Genomic DNA, 24,908 nt, shown 5'->3' on the forward strand with positions numbered 1-24,908 from the left:
AGTGTAACCACAGGCAGACCTCTGCCAATTGCTGACATTAACCTATTGAATCCTGGCAGAGAAGAATAAGTTTGCAGACTGGAATTTGCATGTCTGGGCCAGATACGAGACCAGGAGGCAAAGCCATATTTACCTGTTCTCCCCAGTTGTGGCAAATCACCCACATTCTGGTTAAAACCAGATGTTTCACACCCATGACTGCAATGCCACACATCAAACAGTTGCTTACAAAGAACACAAAGTGGTTTTCACATCGCAAATGTAACTTGCAGGTCACTTCTCAAATTTCCTCGCAGCAGCTACCATGCCTGGGTATTTTTCCCTTAAAAATGACAACCTTGTTGGGTCTCTTGTAGGGACTTTCATTTGGAAGCCCTGGGAGAACTTATATGCTCTTTCCAAGAGGGTCTCTGATGGCTTTAATTCACATGGAGTTAATATATTGGAAAAGAAAAGAGATCTTCCCCAAACTCACCTGCTCCTTGAAAATGCTATTCTGTTGCCTTGGCGAACAGCCAATCCAAACATTAAAAAAGAGATAGAGAATGCAGGAATCCTAAATGCTATTCTCAGTGCATGTCCAAACAAGAACTGGGGGCTGAGGGGCAAAGAACAGAAAGAGGAGAAAAGAGTTTTTGTAGCCTAGGCCGTGAGTTGATCCCACCCCGTCATGTCCTGTACCCTTCACGCTCATAAAGAAGACAGAGGAGGCCGGGCGCGGTGTCTCATGCCTGTAATCCCAGCACTTTGGGTGGCCGAGGCAGGCGGATCACCTGAGGTCAGGTGTTGGAGACCAGCCTGGCCAACATGGCGAAACCCTGTCCCTACTAAAAATACAAAAATTAGCCGGGGGTGGTGGAACATGCCTGTAATCCCAGCTACTCGGGAGTCTGAGACAGGAGAATTGCTTGAACCTGGGAGGTTGAGGTTGCAGTGAGCCAAGATTGTGCCATTGCACTCCAACCTGGGCAACAAGAGTGAAACTCGGTCTCAAAAAAAAAAAAAGAAAAAGAAAAAGAAAGAGGAAGGAGAAGGAGAAGAAGGAGAAGGAGAAGGAGAGAAGAAGAAGGAGAAGGAGAACGAGAAGATGTGGTGGCATCATGACTTCTCTGCTAGGGTTAATTGCTCAGCCTGAGAGGCTCTCCAGGCTGGCAGGTCACACTAGAGCCAAGAGTGAAGGGTCCATTCAGTAAGGTCACTGCCATGATCAGTTCTCAACCACTTTAACTCAGTTTTTCTGTTGCTGCTTTGTTGGTTAGTGGTTTGTTTGTTTCTACCCATTTGGGAGAAGGGTAGGAAAGGAACTAAGGTGATCAACTATTCCATATGTGTCAGGCCCTGTACTTGTCTTTTCAAACACTTATTCACACTCTGAGGGACTCTCTCAGGTCCAGCAACTGTGTAGCTATGATGTGAAATAGCAGCTTCTCTCTATGCATTCACTGGGAATGGTTTGTTCTGATCACACAATTTTTTCCAGTTCTTCCGACGTTAGGTGTTGCATGGTAAGAAACAGGTGGTTAATTATTGAGACAGTTCTTATTTGGAATTGTCTCTTCCTCCTTCTCCTCTCAGGCAGATGCTAAAGGATGTCTGTAGTTTTTTCATGGCATTTTGCTAAAGATGCACATTCATTAATTCATCAAATAGCTTTTTTTGAGACATTATTATGAGTGAGGTGTTGTGCTATGATATGCTTTATATACCATATCTTATTTCATCCTCACCACAAAGCTATGAGGTAGGTACTATCATTATCTTAATTTTACAATGAAGAGACTGAGGCTCAGGAAACATAATGCAAGGTCACACTCAGTTAATAAGTTGAGAGCTAGGATTCAAACCCAGGTTTATCTGACTCAGTTACACTACACTTCCTCCACATAGCACATTGTGGGCCCGTCACAGCTCTTGAGGACAAAATTCATCCTTAGAAAAGTTTTCTTACTCCACTTTTTGCTGATACTACTGCTGCTGTTGCTGCTGCTACTACTATTACTACTACTGCTACTGTTTCTCCTCCTCTATTTATCCAGAACTGCATTTTTCCAGCACTCCTAGGTGCTTTGAACCCAGCTACCAGTTGTAGAGTTCAAACCCAGGCCTGCATGAGTCCCTTGCACCCATTCTACTTTTCTGCACTGCTTGTAATGTAACACAGGAGGTATGGGACATCCATAACTCAGGTAGGTAATTGACTTCAAGCTTAACATTCACTCACCAATCATTTATTGAGCACATATTAGATAAGCAACCTATGGCTCCTGCCCTGGAGTTGTTCATAAGACCTTCCAGGCAGACAGCTATGGGACGAATACACTTGAATTTATTAAATCTACCTCAGGCAAAAAACCAAGCATGTAATTATAAGTAGTATATCAGAGTATGTGTAAATGGGGTTCTGTAAAATGTTTGAAAGAGGCAGGCCTGGGTTAGTGGTGAGAACAAGGATCAAGAAGGCTCTGCCACCAAATAACAACATGAGTGTTGTCCCGTTAATCTCTCTGGGCTTCTGTTTCCAGATCAAGGACCTCAAAATAATAGTCATAGTCACCATTTATTGAGTGCTTTACTGTTAACCAGGCAGTATGCTAGGTGGTTTTCATTTAGTCTTGACAACAGTATTCTCGCTTTCCCTTTTCTACAGCTGAGACTCAGAGACATTAGGTAATGTCTAGGTCACACAGCTCTTCAGTGACCAGTTGTTTCTATGTCAGAATCCTCTTATAATCACTGAGTTGTATCGCTTCCCTTGCCTCCTGCTCCCAAGTCAAGTATTCTCTACTATGTCGCCTGAAAATTAAAATTAAAATCAAGGTTAATCTTGTTCAACTGAGCCAAGAGGATAAACATTAGAAATAGCAATTAGTAGGTAGAAATGTTGCCAGGAAGAGCTATACAAAAGCATAGAAAGGCAACCAAGGGAGTTAATGATGGGGGTGTGGCAGGGGTTGCATGTTGATGGGTAATTGGATCCTGGCCAGCTCTTACCTTCTTCCTTCACCTTCCCACTCCGCAATTTCTCAGGCTTCTCTAGAGAGCACAACCCACCTAGAGACAGCCTGTGTTGCCACAGGAGGGCACCAGGCCAGGAATGGCAGGCCTAGGGCAGTGGGGCTCTGGGCTGGGAACCATAAATAACCACTTTAATGAAAACCAGCTTTGGCCAAAAGCCTTATCATTTCTTAAGAGGTTCTGTGCTTCTTCTAATGACCTAGTTACTTGAGAAAGGCCTAGCCTAACATATACAACAACAATAATAGTTGCCCTATAGTGAGTACTTACTATGGGCCAGGGCCTGTGCTAAACACTCACTAATTCATTTAATCCTCACACAGCCCTACAGGAGCAAGTACTATTATTTCCCCCACGTTACAGAGCAGGCATCAGGCTGAGAGAGGCTAAGTCATTTGCTCAAGATCATATAGCTGGTTGGAGCTGGAATTTGAAGCCTGAAGCATCTAGTTCCAGGGCCTGAGCTCTTTAATTCCTATATTTAATGAATGTCTGTCGAAGGAATAAACAGATGAATGAATAGACAAATGTATTCATTTCATTTCACTTTAACAAACATTTATTGAGTGCTCTGTGTCAGCTCCTGTGCTAGGCATTGAGGATTTATAAGTTTAGTGCGTGCGTGCGCGCACACACACACACACACAAACGCACACACACACACACACACATCCTGCATGGCCCTTGCTCTCCAGGGGTTCACAAAAGCATTCTCTATTGTGGCTTGATTTCTTCTGGAGAGAAGTAATTTGAATGTCTTGAACAGCAGTTTTTAATGATGCTATTAAATTTAACCTAAAGCGGGGGTTTTGCACCGGTGAGCAAAGTGTTTCAAATGAGAATGTGTCTTTGATTAATCATCGATTCAGCCAGAGAATAGTTACTACCAGAATGGAGCTGCAACTCCTATTATATTAGCTAACTCTTCTTCCATCTATCATGTCTCTATCTTGTCGAACCCTCCCACGATACAAAAGTTATCTGTACCCTAATGGACAATTATCCCATCCATCATTCCTGCTGGTCTTGTTGATTGCTGGTAGTCTGCTTGCCCACGGAGGAGACTTACAAATAGTCATGACCAGTGACGCACTGGAAAACTGCTCATTTTTAGACATTTTAAATCTATGTAGAATGAATTATTTTTCAGGCTGTACTTAAGCTGCATTTGCTTTGTTGGTTATGTAAGAAGAGATATGAATTCCTTACCTATGCGTGAGACATGGCGTCTGAATATTTTTAAGTTCCTGTGGGCAGCAGCCCTATACATATTTGTTAAAATGATGAAAGAATAAAGTAAACATACCTAGAGTAATTCCAGAGGAGCAGGCTTCATACCTGGAGCTCGGGTGGGTGGCCATCATGTCAGGGTAGTCACCGTCTTCCTTTTCCTTTCTAAGTACTTTGAGGAGAATCCCAAGTTGATTAGGGTCAAGGTGAGGACTCATGGTGCTGAAAATAGGGATTGAGTGGACAATGAGAGATGCCTGTTGAATTCCCTGGGACTATTGCTATGAGATTTGAGGGCAGAAATGCCCCCCTCTCCCATGTCCTACCCTAAGCCTGGTAACACATTTAACTTTTTGTTACAGTAACTACCATGCCTAGTAAAACTGGAGTCACTGGTTGCCCAGGGCAAAAACCCAAGAGTTGTAGTTCACTCATCTTTATTTCTCACCTCTACATTCAGCCAGTCACTAAGCCCTGCCAAGTATATTTCCTAAGCATTCCTTGCATGTCACCTCTTTTCTCCATTCCTACTGCCAGGGCTTTAGTTCAGGACTCCTCCCACCTCCAGACATCTCTTGCCTTGATTCCTACAATACCTTCTGGTTTTCTCACCTTCTCTCCTTAGTCCTCTGTGACCATTCTCCCCAAAGTGGCCTGAGTGATCTTTCAAACATGCAAATCAAATCATTTCACACCTCCATCCCCTCCACTTAACACTTGTAAATAGCCTCACAACACCTGAGACTTGAGGCTCTCAAAATGTGGGTCCTGGGGCCAGCAACACCAGCATCTCTGGCAACTTCTTAAAGTTAGAGTACGTACTCATTAGAGTACCTACTGAATCAGAAACTCTGAGAGTGCTCACCTGACTCTGTGTTTAACAGCCCTACAGGTGATTCTGATGAGCACTCAAATTTGAGAACTGGCACCCTAGAGCCATGGTTCTCAATCCTGGCTGCACATTCAAATAAATGGAGGGAGCTTTTAAAAGTTCTAATGCCTCTCCTGCAGAGTAATTAAATCAGTTTCTAGGGGTGGGATCCAGTCATAAGTATTGTTTTTAAAGTTCCCCAGGTGCTTCTAATATACAGTCAAGGCTGAGAACTACTGCTCTATAGGATGAAGTCCAAACTCCTTAGCTTGGCATTTAAGGTCTATCTCTTTGGTCATAACCACCCCCAACACTATGCTCTTGCTTGTTCATTCTAGAATTCAATCACAGGGAGTCATTTGCAATTCTCTTAGAGCCACACATGGTCTCTTACCTCTGTGCATTTGCACACATCATTCCCACTGCTGTGCCCATCCCTTCCTCCCTCCCTTCACCCAGCTAACACCATCTCATCTACAACACATAGCTCAGAAGACACCTCTAAGGAACAGTTTTCCCCGCCTGTCCAGTCTGGGTTAGATGCCCCTCCTCTGTACTCCCACAGCGTCCACAACATAGCACTGGATACATTCTCTTGTTCTTCTCTGGTTAGTTGTCTACTTTCTCTACCAGTCTGAGAGCTAGGATCCCCACCTGGCACACAGTAGATGTTCCATGATTCTGTACATCCTGTTCCCTCTTTTTGGAGTGACTTTCTGTGCCTTGTCTGTGGCCTTCAGGATGCAGCTCAGATATCACTTCTTGGGAATCTCAGAATTCTCTGTCTGGACCCTTTCTCTAGGCTCCCGCAACAATCTAAATGTAATCTGATCCTAGCCCTTAGCACACAGGGCTATCAGGCTGCCATAGTCTGTTTACTTATCTGCCTCCCTCACTGAACTGTAAGTAACTTGAGGTTAGGGACAGAGCCTTGTACATTCCTGTATCCCAGCTCCTAGCACAAAGACTCACACATTATAGGTGCTCAGTAGCCATAACCATCTGCAGAACGAATAACTGAATCAATGATGACCTTTTCCTCTTCTCCATATCATCAGCCACTATTTCTGTCCAGGCCCCCGTTGCTTTATTGCAATAGCCTTCTGACTATTTCCCATCTCTCCTTTCTCTGATGCCATCTGAACACTCCCCCCCTCTCCAAGATGTGGCTTTCTAAAACCACAGTCACCCTATCCCTCCCCTGCTCAAACACTTTCAGTCATTCCTCATTGTCTGCAGGGCAAATATCAAAGTGGAATTCCAGATCCTTCCTTCCCAAGAGTGGTCTGCCTTCCCAACCATACCTCCCCCCATTCCCCTATGGAATACCAGCCACATCATCTGAGGGTCCTGGTGCAAAACGAAAATGTGGAACCCCGTGTTAAAATATAATCAAGGATTTCAAGATAGCAGCAAAGGAGAGCATTAAACCAAGCATAGGGCTCTTCTGACTTCAGGGTCCGATGCGACGGCACAGGTCTGCCCCTACGTGTATCCAGCGCACTGGCCAAATGCACTTGCTCCTCCTTCAACTGCTCTGTAGGTTCACTTTCTCCACGGCTTTTGTCAGGCTGTTCCATCTCTTCTACCCCACTAGCCAATTCAAAGCTTGTCTTCCCTGTAGATCCACCCTGTTCTTCAAGAATTGCTCAATTCTCATCTCCTACTGTTCCAGACCACAGTAGTTTCTACCACACAGCCTGATATTAATAATTATTTTTATATGTGTGTAGTCTTGCCTGTCTACTGAATTTTAAGCTTCTTGAGGGCAAGGACTCTATTTTGTTCATCTTTTTTTTTTATAGACTTAGCATAGTACTTTGTAATCATCTCACTTGTTGAATGACTCAGGGAAGAAATAATACAACTCCAGTCACTGAGTTTGCCAAAAAACAGTAGACACTGCAAACCTGATTTAAATCCCTCATTATTAGCTATGCAACATTGAAGGAGTCACCTCACTTCTCTTTGCCATCTATAAAACGATGATACTTAGAGAAAAAGTGTTTTTTTTTTTTTTTGTTTTGTTTTTTTGGTTTTTTTGTTTTTACAGAGGCTTGCTCTCTTGCCCAGGCTGGAGTACAGTGGCATGCAATCTCGGCTCACTGCAACCTCCGCCTCCTGGGTTCAAGTGATTCTCCTGCCTCAGCCTCCCAAGTAGCTGGGATTACGGGCCCATGCCACCATGCCCTGCTAATTTTGTATTTTTAGTAGAGATGGGGTTTCACCATGTTGGCCAGGCTGGTCTTGAACTCCTGACCTCAAGTGTTCCACCTGTCTCGGCCTCCCAAAGTGCTGGGATTACAGGCGTTGAGCCACCATGCCTGGCTAGAAAAAGTAATTTTTTGTTAGTATCTTGTTCTTTGGCAATGTTTTCAAAATCTTTTGTTTTTTAATACATGTAAAACTTATTTTATATTTTATATCACCTAATTGCAATACCTGAGGTCTTTGAAGACCTGATTCTGTTTTCATTGTTTCTGGCTTCATCGTGTTCTTTGTAATTTTGGATTATGAGTTCATGTTCAACCTGACTTTATCCTTGGTAATCCTATGAAAACTGGGTGGTGGGCATGTTCTTCCAGGGAGGATTTGTGTTTGGTTCTTCCAAGTGCATCAGGGCACTATTAATCCAGGAGTTCTTCCAGTGAATTGTTTAGTCCCAAAGGCAAGGGCCATGTCTTCTTTGGCTATATGATCCCAGGGCTTAACTCAGGGACTTGTAGATGCTCAACATATATTTGCTGATTGAGTGGATGAATGAATGTGGTACTTTACCGCTTCTTTTGGAAGCCCAATAAGAATTGTGACCTCTGGTATTAACAAAGAACAGTAGGCACATCAGGAAAATAATAATTACTAACATTTATTGAGCAATGATTATGTGTCAGGTATCATTCTAAGTGCTTTGTGTGTATTAACTCATTTAATTCTCACTATGATGCTGTGAGGTAGGTTACTATTATTATCTTCACATTACAGAGGAGGCACCAGACTCAGACAGGCTGAATAACTTGGCCAAGGTCACATAGCTAGTGAATGGCGGAACACAGATATGAACCCAGGCACCCTAGAGACACATCTACTTACCACCTTGTATTGGAGAAGAGGTCAACAGTAGTGACAGAAGCAATAGAGTGGAAATTTTCAGTACTGCCAAAACTATGAGAGCCATATAGTCCACACCAGGCATGAAAAGGAAGCTGGCATGGTCTTGTGTTGTCAGTTAACCCTTGTATATAGGGTTTTCATTTCCTAACTAGAGAAGGAGGAGTTTGAAAGCAGGAACCATGAATTACAGCTCTTTGAAATGCTCAACATAGATTTGCTGAGTGAATAAATGACTGTTTTGAAATTAAACACAGGAGTGCTTTGAATAAATTACTTTGCATCTTGTATGTCAAACTGAAATTGGTGAGACATCTTTCACCTTGTGTTAAAAACTAAAAATCCCTAGATGTGGTCATAACATGGCTGGTTATAATGACACCTTGCATTTGTACTTGTGTATGATACTCAGGACTCCCTGAGAAAAGGAATGAAGAAACTTGGATTTTGCCTTCATAGGCCCTGAGGCTGTCAGGAACCAAGGGCCACTGTGTTTGTAATCCATTCCTTTGGCTGCTCTCCAAATCTAGGAAGACCTGGAGGAAAGGGGGGCTTTATTTTCTATCTTTGCCAAGATCAGGAAATAATTTGTGAACTCTCAGTAAACATTCTGGGGGCCTTCCCTCTAACACTGCTTTGGTGGAATAATATCTCCAGTTTTCACCAATCTTGGTTCAATATTTACCTGGGGGTTTGCAGTGATCATGGGGACAGGGCTCCAACATGAAGTGAAGGTTCATGAGAAGGAAAATGAGGGGAAGGCTGTGTGTGTGTGTGTGTGTGTGTGTGTGTGTGCTGGCTGAGGGATGAAGGTGGGAGGAATACCAGGATTCTGAAGCAATGAGAGTGGGATTGGGAGAGAGAGCTCATGTTGAAGAAGAAATAACTCACCAGTTCACATGGGCTCCTTTTCAAGGGTTTTTCTTTATATAAACAATTTGCCTGGTTCCAATTAGAAGCCCACATTAGGCAGTTAGCTCCAATTTGGCAGTTCATTCTTAATTTGGCTTTCCTTATGGGTGGGAGGGAGGGCTGACAGTTAAAAGGTTGATGGGAAAAACCTTGGTATCCTGGTGTGAAGACAGACCCTGGGATCAGAAGGTTGCCCTGATGACTTTGCCAATGTGTTCATTGCCCCTGTCCTGCTGGGGCGCATACAGCAGGCCCTTCTTTCTCATACGCCCTTGACAGACCAGGACTCACTGCTAGAAAACCCCTGGGGAAGTCATTGCTGAAGACTCTAGTGTGGGGCACATTAGGTTTGAGGAGCAGGGGAAACATTCAGGCAGCTGGCAAGGTCTGGGCTACCAGGAGAGATTTGGGAGTTAGAAGCATATTAGGTGAGAGTTGACACTGTCCAAAGGGAGTATATAGAAAGAAAAGCAGAGGAAAGGGCTCATGGAGTCATTACAGCCTGTGAGGTGGGAACAGGGTTTGGGAGTACTAAGGGTTTGGGGAGGGTTTATGTGTTTATTCACCCATTCATTTATTCAACATTTCTTGAGCTTTATGGCAGATGCTGAGTTGAAGAGGAAGCTGGGGATTTAAGAGGGAGAAGAGTTAAGAGGGGATCCCTGGGTGGATCCAGATGAAGGAGAAGGGAGGGGCTAAGTGCCTAGGCTCGCTCTTGCCAGGAGAGCACATCTGTTAACACAAAGCTGCATCTGTATCTCAGCCAGCTCTCTTCCATTTCATCTCCTCCTCTCTACCCACACTTGCAAGACGGGGAGCCACATGGCGGCTTCCTACTCCCTTGTACCACTACACCCCCTGCCGGGTTCTTTCTAGGCATTTAGCTGTGGCATCAGCAGCACCCCTTCTGAGAGATCAGGCAATCCCCAAGGGTGAGTGGTAGTGGTAGTGGTGGGGAGGGTTGATAGCTTCGAGAGAAGAGCTGGAGAAGGCGCTGTCTGGCTGTAATTAGCCCCAGCTGCTGTTGTGAGGCAGCGTTGGGGGCCGTCAGGAGTGTACATGCATGTGTATGAACCTGTGAGCGTGGCACCTCATTGCTATCACTCTATTTTTCACTGTATTGTGTGCTGGCTGCAGCCTCGCTGCTCTGAAACCCCTCCTGTCCCTGAGGATCCCGAAAGACAGAGTGTTCCACAGGCAGCACCAGCTTGAATCACTAATGCTATTAAGCAGGAGGACAACAAATATAGGCCCCCATATGTCCTGGATATGCAAGTCCCTGCTCTCTCTTTCCCCACCCCTGCTTCCTGAATGTTTCCAAGTGAGTGAAGTCCCAGCACTTGAAATTAGCAACACCTCACTTCTGCACAGCCTTTTGGCAAAGAGCTTTCACAGCTGCCATGTCATGCATCCTCAGACGCTTCTAGGAGAAGCATTTTATAGGTGAGGACCCTGTGGTTCAGGGAGGTGGAGAGATTTGCACAGGCTAACCCAGACAGTCAGTGGCAGACTTGTGTCCAGGAAGCAAGTCCTCGACCTCCTGGCCTGGTGGCCCATCCCCAGCAGAGCACTGCCAAGAGGGCTGCTCCCGGGTGGCTCCAGCTGCTGCTGTCTGTGAGCTCGTGAGAACCTGTCAGCTGTGGCTCCAAGACCTGCCTCAGTGATTGCTGAAAACGCTGAGAGTGCTGAAAACCAGGACCCTCAAGCCGAGCCTGACGTCACATAGTTGATTGAGTACCTGCTATGTGCCCACCACTGTGCTGGTGCTTATGGGAGACAAAACAGGGGTAGTGCATAGCCCGTATCCTCAAAGAAGTGATAACTTGAATGGGGAAACAACTCTTAGATACCAAGTCCAAAGGCAATTCCAAGCACTTCTCTCTCTTCCACTAAGCAGTCTGTTGTCAGTGACAATGACACAGGAACCCCTTCTGAATTCATCTGTCTTATCGCAGGCCTGGGGTAGGAGAGGATGGGAGGATGACTAGGAAGGGTAATGAGGAAGGGCAGGGAGATGGGGGAAGGAAGGGAAAAACTGGAGCTCCTAATAAACACCAGGCACATTGTGAAGTTTATATGTTATACATAGGTCATTTGTATTATGCTTATCATACATGTACATGAATATATACACCCAAACACATACACAAACACATACACAATCACTTTCCAGGGATTGACTCATCTATTTGGCTCACTCTCAATCATGAAAAGAGCTTAGGACAGTGACACTTTTAGAAAGCCCTGAATGAGTGTTAACTAGCCTTTCTTCTTATCATGATCATCTTCATTGTCATTATCGGCATATTATATAAATTATCTCATTTATTTCTTCTAACTACAGGACTTAGCAACTATTATTTTTATTTCCAGTTTACAAATGAGGAAACCAGTATCTTATTTTATCCAAGCTTGTGGGTACTGAGAATATAAAGAGGAATTCAATATGGTTCTAGGCAAACTTTGGGGTCTTCCCTATCTAGTGGGAGGGACCGAGGCACACATAAGCCCTCATGGTCCAATAGGTGCTGTGGTAGAGGAACGTATCTGGGGAAGTTGAGGAAGTCTCCACGAATGAAGGAGGCTTGAGCAGCATCTTGAGGGATGGCAGGTTATGTCAGGAGGAACAGTGGAGGCAGGGGAAGACATTCCAGGCAAAGTGAGCAGTATTTGTGTGACAGGGCCTAGTGCATGTTTCAAAGGGCAGGACAATTGTAGCTGGGTGCACCACTGGCAGCAGCAGGAGGGGAGTGGACGAGTATTTGGGGTCAGCTATTCAGAGCCCTATTGGCCAAGCTGAAGGTTTTGTTCTGTGAGCAAGAGGGAGCCACTGGAGCTTTTTATTAAGGCAGATTCGGGACAGACTAGGAAGACAGTCCTTACCAGGGTGTTGAAAGATTGGAGGGAAGAGAGGCCAGCTGCATGCGGACCAATTGGGAGACCATCTCCAGGGTCTGGGCAAGAAGTGGAACAGGCTCTGAACCACGACCGTGGCAGTGAGAGCCGAGAGGAGGGGATGACTCAAGGCACATGTCAACAGGTAGAAACCTCAGGGCTGGCTGTCATGGGGTCAAGGAGAGGGAAAAGGTGACAAGGACCCTGAGGTTCCAGCTTGGGTCCGTGGTGATACTGTCAACTGAGGCAGGGAACACAAGACTGTTAGTAGAGAGGGAGAGTGAGGGGAGACAGATGACAAGGTCTGTTTGGACTTGCTGGGTTTGGAGTGCTGGATAGCGGACATGTCCAGCAAGAAACTGGGAATCTTGGCTTTGAGCCCAGCTGAGACATGGGGGCTGGAAAGCCACCACAGTCAAGGGATATTAGTTGACCTCAGGGGACTGGATGGGGTTTCTCCTCTCCCATTTTACTCATCCAGGGCAAGGGCTAGGGACAGAGCCAGGTGAATACCAGTATTTAATGAGGGAGGTGGTGGGGGACACCAGCCCGGAGTGAGAAGACACTCTTCTTTGGACCTTCCCAGAAACATCATCCCTTTCCCCTCATGATCATGGTCCTTGTTCCAGGGCTGCACTCAGGCCAGTGACAGAAGGAAGGGAGGGACAGAGGGAGAAAGGGAGGAAAGAAGGGAGGGAAGGAGGGAGGGGGGAGGAAAGAAGGGAAGGAAGGAGGGAGGGGGGAGGAGGAAGGAGGGAGGGAGGGGGAAGAAGGAGGGAGTGAGGGAGGAAGGAAAGGGAGGAAGGAGGGAAGGAGGGAGGGAGGAGCTCTGTGCACAGAACTCATGCCTGCACAGGGGCCATGAAGCAAGGACAGGACAGTCACTTCAGCTCTGGAGTTCTTTAGTGTGGGAGTATCTTCTAACAAAACCTAATAAATTAACAGCTGTGGGTTTGGGGCAGCAAGGACAAAGACCACAACTCTACAGTGACCCCTGGAGCACTCAGTGCCACTGACTGCGTCTCCACTGCTGCAGAGCTGGGAGCACATTCATGACAGCATTTTTCAAGCTCCTGTCTGTGCAAACCACAGCTGGTCTCCTAGGAGTCCTAACACTTTAATTAGACCTAGCAGGTCCCAGAACAAAATCCCATAATCCCCAAATCTATAGCAACAAGTTAGGCATGAGAGTTTTAGTTACATTCTGGATGTAAGAGAACCCTAACTGCCACTTTCTTTCTGAGTCTCCAAATGACCTTTGACCAATCTCTTTACCAGAAATATTTATCTAGAATGGCCTTGGTCTCTGACACCTTGAGGACTTCTACTGATTTCTCTGTTAAATCCCTGGAACCACACCAATAATAGTTCTGAACATTTTACACTCATCATCTCATTTATTCCTCACAAATATTATAAACCCTGTTTATATATATGTGTAATATTTATAGTAACAAGAGTAGCAGATATTTTGCTGAGGGGAGGCATGGTTCTACACAGGTTACATGAAGTAATTCATAATTCCACATGAACAGCACTATGAGGTATTATTACTGTCTCCATTTCACAGGCAAAGAGCAAATCACAGAAAGAATGAGTAAGTTGTTCAAGGTCACACAGCCTATAAGAGGCAAAGCCTGCCGGTGTGGCTCCACTGTGCTATTAACCAGTAAGGTCTTCTATAGCCCCAACTAGCTCAAAATGGTTCTAAATGAAGAATCGCTGTGCGTTTTGCACCTCAGACTGCTAGCATCGCTGATTTAGGTCTGGAGTTTAGATAAGTGAAACTACTCAGGGTCTTTGTGAAGTATCTTTAGAGCTGCTGCTTGGACAAGACTGGGTCAGGACTTCGAAGGCATTTCCATGTGCTCCTGGAGAGTCAGGATGTAGGCTGGGATTCATTATGCGACCCAGCTGTGTGACTTTCCTCCCCACCCCTTACCCCCATTCACCAAGATAGAATGCACTGTTTCTTAAGGTGTGGCTTAAGGAGAGCTCTTTAAACATGCAGATTCTAGGGCTGAAGCACAAACCCACTCTGTATCTTTATAGAGATAACTGCTGGAATATGCATTTTAGTAAACTCTCAGGCTGAATTACTTTGAGAATCATCAGAGTCTACTTTGACAGGATATAGGCTTGTCTTCTGATTCTAGAAGTACCATAAGCCTAACTAGGGATGCTTCCCACTCCTCTTTCTTGCTGAGCAGAGAAGCAAGGGGGACTGGAATGCAGAGAACATGCTGAGGGCATGCCTGCACAGAAAGCTGAGCTCCTTGTCACCACATACCTTGAAAGAGTGGACTCTGTATCCCCAGGAGAGGATGGGGAGGGACAGAGAGAGAAAGCTATGGAAAGCCTCTGGAAGCCTTAGTACCCTGGGGCCCAGACAAGGGAGTCCCCTGAGGGAGGTAGAGAGTGGGGCTGTTGGAGGAGGAGAGCAGCTATGGGCCAGCAGCCTGAGGAGCTGAGAGTCACAGTGGGAGTGACTGTGGCTTCAGAGTGATGCCATAGCTGCAGTGAGCTGTACAGGAACCAGAGACCCAAAGTTTTCTGTAGGGCTTCTTTTGCTTTGTTAGTGCTTCAGGAGTTGGATCCTTCTGGACCCTGATCTCCCAGAAGTGATTCCATTTCGCCTCTAGGAGGTGGGTAGCAAAGCTCAGTCTGTGGCTGGGGAAAGCCAAGGAAGTGATTTCACGAATCTTTAGCAGTGAATCCACCTATTTAGTTAGCAGGGGATGGAGCAGATCAGAACTAGCGAGAGGAAAGGCTTAGGAATGCTCTCTAGTGGGACTGAGAAGAAAAGGTGAGAGGGTGACATTAACTGGAGGAGATGGTGAGCCCCTGACCCCTGCAGTTGTGAGACTTGCACTGAGTGGGATGATCTGCTGCTATAACCTATCCTCAGGCAATGAAGCATAAGCAGAGAGCCAGGAGTGTTAATCATTGCTGATTTTTATTAAGCATTTCCTTTGTACTGGACACTGTACTGGGCTGTACATGCATCATCACATTCAGTCTTCACAACATTATATGATAGCTCCTATTACTGTGCCCATTTTACAGATGAGGTTTAGATAGGTTATACCACTTGCCCAAGGCCACACAACTAGTAAGTAGCAGAGCCAGAATTTGCACCCAAGTGGTTTTAATCCAAACTGTGTCCACTAGGCCTTAGGAAGGAGCCCACATAGAGCTTTGGGGATGCTGCATTCTTGACCTGTGGCTGTAGGTGGGCAACTCCTCTTCATACCTTATAGCTCTTGGTAAATGAAGTGAATCACTGTATCTACCATGAATCTCCTTGGGAATGAGTTCAATGCGGGTATCAGAGGAAGCAAAGGGTGGGAAGGGGGTCTCAAAAGTCTAAATCTTAGTGTGGTCCCCTCCTTTGACCTACTCTCTCTGGGCTGAAGAAATGCCAGGATTGAGGGGGCAGCAGATTGTTAGATCTGTTTGTTCCATCTACTGAGGCCTCATAACATTTTTGGAGCCCTTGTTCAGTGACTCAGGTAATTCAGCCTGAGGGTACCTTTGCAGGGAGTTCCCCTATCTCTTATCCTGTGTTAGTACATGAGATTATTCCTCCTTCTTGTACCCCAGTTACATTAAGTGGGTCTTATTCCCCAAATCCGTAGTCTCTGCCCCAATAAGTTGCCTGTACCCCATTTTAGCAAGAATAGAATCTTCCCTTTCTGCCAACAGAGCTTCTTGGCACTTTGGCCTTGCCTGGTTCCTGCTTGCAGACTCCTGTTCTGAGGCTCATGTTTGTACCTAGAATGATTTCATGTTCCTCCTCTCTCTTTGTCCCTCTATCAGAACCTGCTTTCACGATGGGAGATTTAAGAGGCTGATCCTCCCAAGAGGTTGGCATTTTAACTGATGCCAAAGCCCTGAGTCAAAAGAATTATATACTTAAAAATTTTCAAGCCCTTGGGAGCGGATGGAGAGATTGGAAAGGCCAATGGAACATTCTTAATGCTCCTGGAATGCCACAAGGTGGACATAAAATTCAGGCTTCTGCCAAGACAGGACTTGGATTATTTTTGTTATAATCAGAATCCGTAATCTGCCCCCACCCCAGCACTCAGGGCTTTGATCAAAAGTCTTCCAGACAATGAACCTCTATGATCCAAGTATCATTTTCTCAGAGCTCCTTAGAAGGAGGAGAGCTAAGAAACTTCATGAATTACCAAGGACCAAGCAAACAGGCGGTAGTGAAGTCAGAAACAAATTCCTCCCGAGACTAGTTTTGTCCTATAGCCTGAAAACAAATCCGGTCTCCACCAGACATAAGGTGGAATTCCTGTCTTGATTTTTTTTTTAGCACTGATATTAACATTTTTCTTCTCAAATCCTCTTCAGAACCAGCCCTTTTAGAACACAAATTAGAAGCTGTTTATTTTGTCAATCAGAGAAACTGAAGGCAGCCAGCCTTGGCCAAAGGAACATCTTATCCTTTGCCTTTGCTAAGGACAATGTTCCTTCTATTGTGCTCTGTGGAAATAAAAGGGCAAAATATGCTTGCCTTCTTTTATTCTTATTCATGGCTGAGGGTCATATGAAAGTTCAGAGAAGAGCACAGTTTTTAGTATGGGTCGTGGCAGGTTTTCCAGATGGCTTCCTAGCCAAGATATTTCTCCCGCTCACCTCCAAACAAGTTATGTACCCCTAAGAATGATTTGGTCTCAGTGTTAGGGGAAGAGGGTAGGTAGCAGGGCCTGGCTTTGTCATCCTGGGCTATTTTGAGGGGACTTCAGCAGTCCCCGACAGAAGGACAAGAGGGGCTGATTCTCCCTTTGTGAGCAGCCATTGGAGCTGCTTCAGGGACTGACAAGCCGGCCAGAGACAATGTCCTCTCTCAGGAAAGCAGTAAAAACATCAGAAATGCTCCTTTCCTGGGGAGCCCTTAGTTATTTTGGCCTCTCTTTCCATTAAAATAGGAAAGCATTGAAAGGGACCATTCGTGGGATAGCGTGGAGCCTCCCCATTGTGGCAGCATTTCTAACTGCGTTGAGAATTAACCATATTGCTCTTCCTTTTTACCATGGAGGAGTTTCTAGATTTTTATTTATACCCTACCGCTTAAAACATCTTTCACTGTTTCAGCAAATTGCAGCATAAAAGATGGAGAAGCCAGCAGGGGCTGTGCTCACAATAATAGCTGTGGTTGCATTTAAGACATTCAAATGCCAAGGGTGCACTTCTCCCATTAAGTCCAACATAAGAAATCAGGTGTGCACAACATTGATGAACAGAAGACCCCAAAGGACAGGTGGAGTTTCTGGTATGCTGTGGTGGGGGCGGTGGGGTGGTGAGCTTGGGAAAGAACGAACAGGCATTTTCATTTTCCAAACTAAGAAGCAGTTTCGGGCGAAGGGGAGCCGTGGGGATGTCAGAAATTCTTCTAACGCCATGGACCTGCCCACACCTGAGTCAGATAAAGATGACCTTCCCTAGGCCCTGCTTTCCTCTCCCCCTCCCCAAAAGACAGCATGAGCATGAGTAAGCCGGGTACTTACAGGTGCAGAAGAATTTGGAACAGGAAAATGGAGCTTACAGGCTCCCGAATGCCTGCCGAGTCAGTTGCATCAGATTAGGAAGTGATGATCCTAAGAATAAGATGTTTGGAAAATCTTGTCCCCCGAAAGCCCCCTGCTTTGTCTTCTCAGCCCACATCCAAACTCAGACCACCCCCAGGATGTCTCTCATCCTGCCAGACTGCCTGGTGCCTCCGTGCCCCTTACCGTGAGGGTGCTGGCAGCCACACTGCTTCTTTGAGCCTGTGGCCCGGCAAGGTAGTCAGGCTCATGGGATTAGGTTGGCAGGAGCGACTGTCCTCTAAACGATTAGCCCAGAGAAAGAGAGAGAGAGAGAGCAAGCAAACCCGAAAACGGGTCCAGGGTAGAGAGCTCCAGGTCCTTAGCATGTTCCTGGCGTATTCCAAAAGTGGCATCCACAGCAGAGAAAGTGTCCCAAAATAGCTCAGGCTGCCAATGCCTTGCTGAAACCTGAGAAAGAATTGCTGAATTTAAAGATCTGGGTCGCTGTGGGTGTGTGATCAAAGTGCAGATTTGTTGGTAGGAGGAACTCAAGCCATGAGCTTAGGAGTGACATGAGGTCACTTGGGTCACGGCCTGCCTTCTTGTTTCCAACTTGCTGAAGTTGGTGGCAGTGTCAGAGAGCTCCTCTGTGGTGAGGCAGGGGTTTGGAAAGAGGTCCTAAGGATGCTGTTTTCATGCCCAGGTCTCTGATGCGCTAACAATATGAAATAGCAGTGCCCTGTTTTCTGCATTTCAAACAAAGGAACTGATACTATGCAAAGGTTTCTTTAGGTTATTGCTCCATGTCTGATGAAATTCCCTTTTCAGTAGATTTTTCATTTCTTTTGGCCTTTGGCATAAGTAAATGTCAGCTTCTTAAAAATCAACAGAGAAGAGCAAACAGTAGGGTCTCTGTGATTTTCTTGGGATTTGAGAAATCTTCCCTCCCTAGCTTCTAACTGGATCATGTCTGTACATTGCTGCCTGTGGTCCTGGAAAGGACGAGGTCCACCCAGACATGCTGTCTCATTTTTATATTTGCTGAGATCTTGGGACACTCTCCTTTCATCAGGTATGTCAAAAACCTTAGGATTGTCTGCAGAGAGTGTGGTTCAGTATGTGGAAAGGTCAGCATATGTCATTCTTGGACTGGCCCTGGGGTTTAAGAAGAAAAAGCCCAGAATTTGGTTTCCAATTCCAGCTCTGCCTGTCTTTTGCTGTATGAATTTGGGCAAGTCACTTCTCTTCTCTGGACCTCAGTTTCCTCTTCTGTAAACTGAAGACAATAATCTTCATTCTAATTCTAACCCAAATGTTGTAAAGAGTAACTCAGAGAGTTGAAAGAATGCTATAAAGGGCAGGGTTTGGCACTCTCAGTAAGTGGTGACATTTTTCAGTTCTTCAAAGGTCCCTGATTGGTAGCCACTACCTGCATCCACATGCCTATGGCGAGCCCAAGACATCCCACAGTACTAGGCACTATGAGCTTCATGTCTAGGAGTCTAAATAGTTTCCACTTTCAGTTGTGGGAATTTTGGCAAGTAGCTCAATGCTTAGTAGCTCAGTTTTCCCATCTGTCAAGTGGGTATACAAACTAATAATAATACAGGTCCACAATCCCTTATCTGAAACTGTTGGAGCTAGACATGTTTTACAGTTCAAAATATTTGGATTTTAGAAAAGCAATGTGGTAGATATAACATATATATCACACCTTAATGAGATCCAAGATAATACCCAGTGATCAAACTCACTAATATTTCTAAATGGGATAAATGAATAGCCTCATGTCAATTCAGGCCCAGTTTTGCCACCAAATGAGCTTGCCACAGAATTTCAGTTTTCAGAAGCTTTGGGATATCAGAGAGGCACATAGGAAATTGTGGACAATGAAGGAAGTTAATACTTATTTCGTGCATGTAATGTACCAGGCATTGTTCTAAGTATACATTAACTCATTTAAGTGGCCCAATAAGCCTGTGAGGTAAGCAGTATTATTATTATCATCCCCATTTCATAGATGAGAAAACTGAGATTCAGAAGTTAAATCACTTGCCCAGGGTCCCAAAGCCAGTTAGGAGCAATGCTGGGATTCCAACCCACACAGTTCAGCTCTTATCCACCTTCTCTGCCTAACCCATGGGGTTAAATTGAGGCTTTAAATGCCTACAGGGACTGAGCAGGTCGCTGAAAAAGTAAAGGTGGCCTTATGGGTACTGAGGCAAACTGGTGAGCACGTGCCTCACCTACAGGGAGCAGGTTGTTGAGCTCTGGCTGATTGTTGCTATATTGGAATTTGGATCGAAGTCTTTCTCTCTCTCTCTCTCTCTCTCTCTCTGTGTGTGTGTGTGTGTGTGTGTGTGTGTGTGTGTGTGTGTTTCAGAAAAGCCAGAAATCCAGCTTTCTATCTGAAATTTCCTGACTTTTAAATGTTGGCAATTAATTTTAAAAAATGTTTAAAACGTTGTACGGGTCAAATAAACTCTGTCTGCAGTCTGAATTTAGCCTGTGGCTGCCAGTTTGCAAGCTCTGCAATGAGTAAATAGATGTGAAAGTGCTTTGGAAACTTAAAAACGTGCTCTAGAAACAGAAGAGTCTAATTTTAGGGTTATATCTTGTTTTTTCCTTGACTGTGGTCTAGTTTTTTAAAAACTTGTATTCCCGACCTGATGGAGATGAAAAGTCAGAATTAAATAGAGACTTCAGTGAACTTGAGTACTTCATTCCTTTGGCAGGCTGGATAAATGAGAAGCCTAGGTGTACTGGATGGACTAAGCCTCAGAATTCTTGCCACACCCACAAGCCCCTTCTAAGGAGTTTCCATCCACAGACCCTAGCTGAGGGAAGTAGCAGTTTCTTATGAATAGGTGACTATTCTTGGTACCACGTGACCCTGCTTCCCCCAGCAATAGCCACTTGAGCCAGGAGAGGGCATCTGATCCATGAGCAGTCACTCTATAGGCTGGCAAACAGCCTATGAAGGAACCTGGGATGAGAACTTTGCCCAGCAAGTACAGTTACTGAATTTGGACCAATGAGAGTTTCTCTCTTGGGGAGTTTGAATACCAGACCTAGAAAGAGTGAGCAATTGGCAACAGGGGCAGAAGCTGAACACAGAGAAGGCAGGCAGCAGGGACCCCGGATAAGCAGGACCAGGAGAGATTACTGAACTTCAACTATGTGCCAGATTCTTTACACGTTGTTTTGTTTAAAACATTCAAAGAACATGCGAGGTAGGTACTGTTATTATGCCTGTTTTACAGATGAGGAAACTGAGGTGAACTAACTTGAAGTATTGAGGTTCAAGCCCAGGCCTGTTTGAAGTTAAAATGAGAGTGTAGGAACCCCAAAGCCAGTGGTTCTGAAACTCTAGTGTTTCAGAATCACTTGGGTTAAATGCAGGTTCCTTGGCGTCACCCCAGACCTATATTGAATCTGACTCTTTGTGGGTAGAGTCTCCCTCCCCCTACAAATCTGTGTTTTAGCAGTTTTCCCAGGGAGCACTTGATGCAGGGTTTCCCCACCACACTTTTATTTTGAGAAATGCAGTTTCAGAGGGTATGGCAAGTACTGTGTACTGTGCTACCTTTACCTACACAACCAAGGTCAATGTCAACAGATGTGGTCAAATTCCAATTTAAAGTCTTTTGGAAATGGGGCCAATTATGTAAAGAAGAGGGCATTAGTTTGTTCTCTTCTCTCATCAAGGAAGTCTACATTATTACCAGTTATTTGAGAGAACAGAAGATTGGGATGAATGCTTAGTAGTTGTAAACACGATCGGATCTGCACTTCAGGGTGGGTGCAAAGCTAGCATATGTTCACTAAGCATTTTCCATGAGGTGCGTAAACTGTAGAAACTCAGTGCTCTGGCAACAAAGAACATGAGAGAAAATTACCAAATGCAGATAGACATATTGTAAACCGTGGAGCTTAAAATGTAAACCTACTTGCTAGGCTGATCATAGAGGTTCTTCTCAGCCCCAGAGAATTTGTGTAAGAATCCTGTCCATGCCTTTATTTACACCATTGATTAAAAATGCTAATCAGGAGAGGATCAAGGCTATGGACCTCCTTCTAGGTTGTTGCAGAACTCCCACTCTGGCAATGGTATTCAGCTGGTTTTGAATTTTTCTGCTTTAAGAACTATCCCTGGGAAGACTAGTGGTCTGAAGTTTGCTTGGAGAGTCTCAAGCCGGAAACTGATTTGTGGTCCAAATGCTTAATGGCATCAGACACTTATTCCTACAAGAGAGGCATGTGGTCCAAGGGGTGGCACAGGTCAAATGTGATGGCCAAGTCCCGCCTCAGCAGGGCTTGAATCCGCACTTGGCAACTTTTATTTCTCTCTGTCCATTCCTGTGGATACTTTATCTGTGTTAATGTCCTCATTTAGGCTAAGGTCAAACTCTGTTCTTCTCTCTTCTGGCCAGAAAGACTTCCTGTTTTACAGGTATATGATCTTATCTGTGTTGATACCTTAACTGTGAGTGATTCCCTAAAGCAGGTCCTTGGACAAGTGCCCATCCTCCAGGAAAATTGCAGCAGTCCACCGTGCAATGAGAAAGCCTGAGGACTAGGTAGTAAATGTTTCGCAGAGAAGAGAAATCTATTTCATGTATTATTCTTTATTCTGAGGTTATTTCCTTCTCTTTTGGTGTTGAAAGGAAGCCCCTTCTTTTTAGAAAATGATGATTTGTGGTTGTTCTGTTTCTTAATGATTTTACTTGGGAAAATAAAAATCTGGAAGTTCAATATCAGTCCCTGAAATTTTGGGTTGCATTAGCTGCAAGTCTGGGAACCTGGTCTAATTTTGAGTGTTCTGCTAGTACCTCTAGGTACCTCCTATTGCCACTTGTGTTCTAAGTGCTTATAAATTACCTGCTTCGCAATCTGCAGCAGAATCTCTCCGAGGATTGACATCAAGCTTACAGCTTTGGAGTTTACGGTATACTGGTCTGTAGTTTCCTTATTTAAGAAAATTGGGACACTGCCCATTTGCAGTCCTCTGGTATCCCTCCTGTTCTCTCTGATTCCACAGATCCTTCAGACCGGCACCTAATGCAAGGCAGTTCCGTTTGCTCTTCTTATAATGTTCTTTTCCCTATAGAGTTGGACATGCATATACATGTTGTTTGGGGAATTTGCAGCACATCCAATGAAAGCATAATTCCCAACTAACAGTCAAATCCTTTTCTTTGGAGCTACCCAGAACACACCTACCCTCTCTTCCATATGACAGCCCTTCAGAGACTTGAAGACAGTGTGTGACTCTCCTGTGAGTTAAGAGCACTGGCTGAGTCAGACAGACCCGAGTGACAAGCCCAGCTTCGCTCCCTCTCAGCGGTGAGAGCCAAGGTAAGTTACTTCATTTTAATTTCTCTCTAGTTCAGTTCTTTAGCTGATTTAGAAAATGGGAGTAAAAAAGCCACTTTGTTTGTTTATCGTTCAATAAATAAGATGAGGTATGTAAAGTGTTTAACATAGTGCCTGGAATAGTAAGCACTCAGTAAATGCTAGCTATTTCCCCCTCTTTATTTATAAAGAGCCGGTGCGCATTTTAAGTGTCAGGGCTGTGGGGGAGGAAGGAAGTGGGGAGGGCTTCTACTTCCCTGAATGATCAAGGAAGGAAGAAGATCCTAAAGTAGACCAGGTATTTCTTTAGCCTTAGGTTGTCTGTTTTCAGTTATCTGGATGCCTATTTGCTAGGACTTGGGGAAAGAATATTGTTGAGAATCTAGGGAAAGGCTTATTTTCAACAGCTGGAAAGCTATTTGTTGACATATTGAACCGTCTCTTGTTTATTCTTATTTCCCTGAGCAGCTAGCCATGCAATCCCCTAAACTCAATTACCTTTTGTGAGGCGGCAGGAGCATGACACCTCCTAGCCGTATTGATCAGTGCAGACTGGGTGGGACGTGAGGGACCTGAGAGATGCTAAGCGGTAAATTCTGGGCTTTTCCTTCCTTAGAAGGCCTCTCTTCTCTGTGTTCCTAGAGACTCTGGCTTTAATAGAACGGAAGTCTATGCCTCACATGGGCTGAGCATGCAAGAACCCTCTCTCAGTAGCCTCCTTAGAAGCAGGCTGATGAAAATAGTCACAATGGGTCAGAACTTGGAACCCTGGGGTGACCAGTGCTAGCATGGTTTTCTAACTGCAGCTCTTTGCACACACTGGGTTTTGCAAGCAATTGAATGATATGAACTCTGAATGCCATTGCAGCTAGAGAAAGTTTGGAAGGAGACACACCCAACTGTGAACAGACAGAGGAATGGGACTTGCGGGGAATGGGGGGTGGGGCATTTTCAGGAGTTTAGCTTTGTCTGTACGGAGGATTTCAAGTCTTTATCCTAAGAATATATTCCTAGATTACTTATGGAATTACTAAACATAAATAAAAGTTAGAGAAAGAAGAAATTATTTTTAAAAACAAACCAAAAATAAAACACAAAATAAAGTGGTACAACCATTAAGCTTGTCGGGGTAGAAAGATTGCTTGGGTCGGGGGGTGGATGTCCGGGATTCCTAGAGAGAGCTTGCAAGGAGAGGAGTGAAAAGGGCTTGAGAAAGAACCCTAGGGAAACATATCTTTAAAAAAAATAAAATTAACTTTTATTAGTTTTTTTCTTTTCGTATTATGGGTCCATTATAGACCAATGAGAAAATACAGATAAGGAAAATGAAAATTAAAAATCCCCTCTAATCCCATCATTCAACTGTGGTCACTGTTGGCGTTTTGGTATATATCCTTCCAGATTTTTTTTCTATGCAGAAATCTACATATTTATCTTTATGATAATCAGATCCTCATGTACACATTAGAATATATTTTCAATGGCTACAATAGTGGCTGCTACAATTGCACCATGATTCGTTTAATCATTAAACAAGTTGTGTTCTAACATTAGACACTTAGGTTATTTCCAAAATTGTTGCATTAGAAATAAACAACAGTGCCCTGTAGCTGTGTGACATTGGGAAAGCTAGTTAACCTCTCTGTTCCTCTGTTCTCATCTGGAAAATGAAGGTGCTAATAGAACCTACCTCGTAGTATGTTGTGAGTGTCAAATGAGATCATATAGGTAAAGCACTTAGCACAGGGCCTGGCACAGTAAACGTTAGCTTTAATTGTTAGGTGTGTTAATAATAATAATAGTAGTTGTTGTGAGGCCATTGTTAATAGAATGGCTATTCTGTGACTTTTTTTTTTTTTTTTTTTTTTTTGCTTTGAAGGGAGAGGAGAGCGACTGGAATTTTTCTTTTGAGTAGTATGCTATAGTGAGCTCTGGAGTCACACAGAGCTGTGTGCCTTTGGTCATGTCAATTCATCTCA

At 44.6% G+C, this 24,908-nt stretch overlaps 2 protein-coding genes across 11 annotated transcripts in view, besides 1 other annotated feature; one reads left to right on the forward strand and one right to left on the reverse strand.

Moving 5' to 3' along the window:
• Positions 1-17,897, reverse strand: part of AMMECR1 (AMMECR nuclear protein 1) — a 246,048-nt gene extending 228,151 nt beyond the window's left edge. The window contains exons 1-2 of the mRNA NM_001171689.2: positions 17,554-17,897; positions 4,322-4,467 (exon numbers count right to left, since the gene is read on the reverse strand). The gene's annotated coding sequence lies outside the window, so the exon portion shown is untranslated. The remainder of the gene's footprint in view (positions 1-4,321; positions 4,468-17,553) is intronic.
• The window catches only part of RTL9 (retrotransposon Gag like 9), a 97,487-nt gene that overhangs the window by 63,489 nt on the left and 9,090 nt on the right, over positions 1-24,908 (forward strand). For 4 of the 10 annotated variants that reach the window (XM_017029695.2, XM_011530999.3, NM_001385449.1 and 1 more), the window contains one exon: positions 22,817-22,932. The gene's annotated coding sequence lies outside the window, so the exon portion shown is untranslated. Of the gene's footprint in view, positions 1-22,778; positions 22,933-24,908 lie in introns of all 10 variants that reach the window. The other 6 variants (XM_047442284.1, XM_047442285.1, XM_047442286.1 and 3 more) reach the window with 2 other exon arrangements.
• Positions 4,578-5,227: an enhancer, noted in NCBI's record as "NANOG hESC enhancer chrX:109670142-109670791 (GRCh37/hg19 assembly coordinates)". NCBI's record gives its function as "activates a minimal SCP1, AML or CMV promoter by ChIP-STARR-seq in naive H9 embryonic stem cells {active_cell/tissue: H9 hESC(naive)}" and the evidence as "EXISTENCE:reporter gene assay evidence [ECO:0000049][PMID:30033119]".

This window comes from Homo sapiens, chromosome X (genome assembly GCF_000001405.40).
Source record: "Homo sapiens chromosome X, GRCh38.p14 Primary Assembly".
NCBI classification, from domain to species: Eukaryota; Metazoa; Chordata; class Mammalia; order Primates; family Hominidae; genus Homo; species Homo sapiens.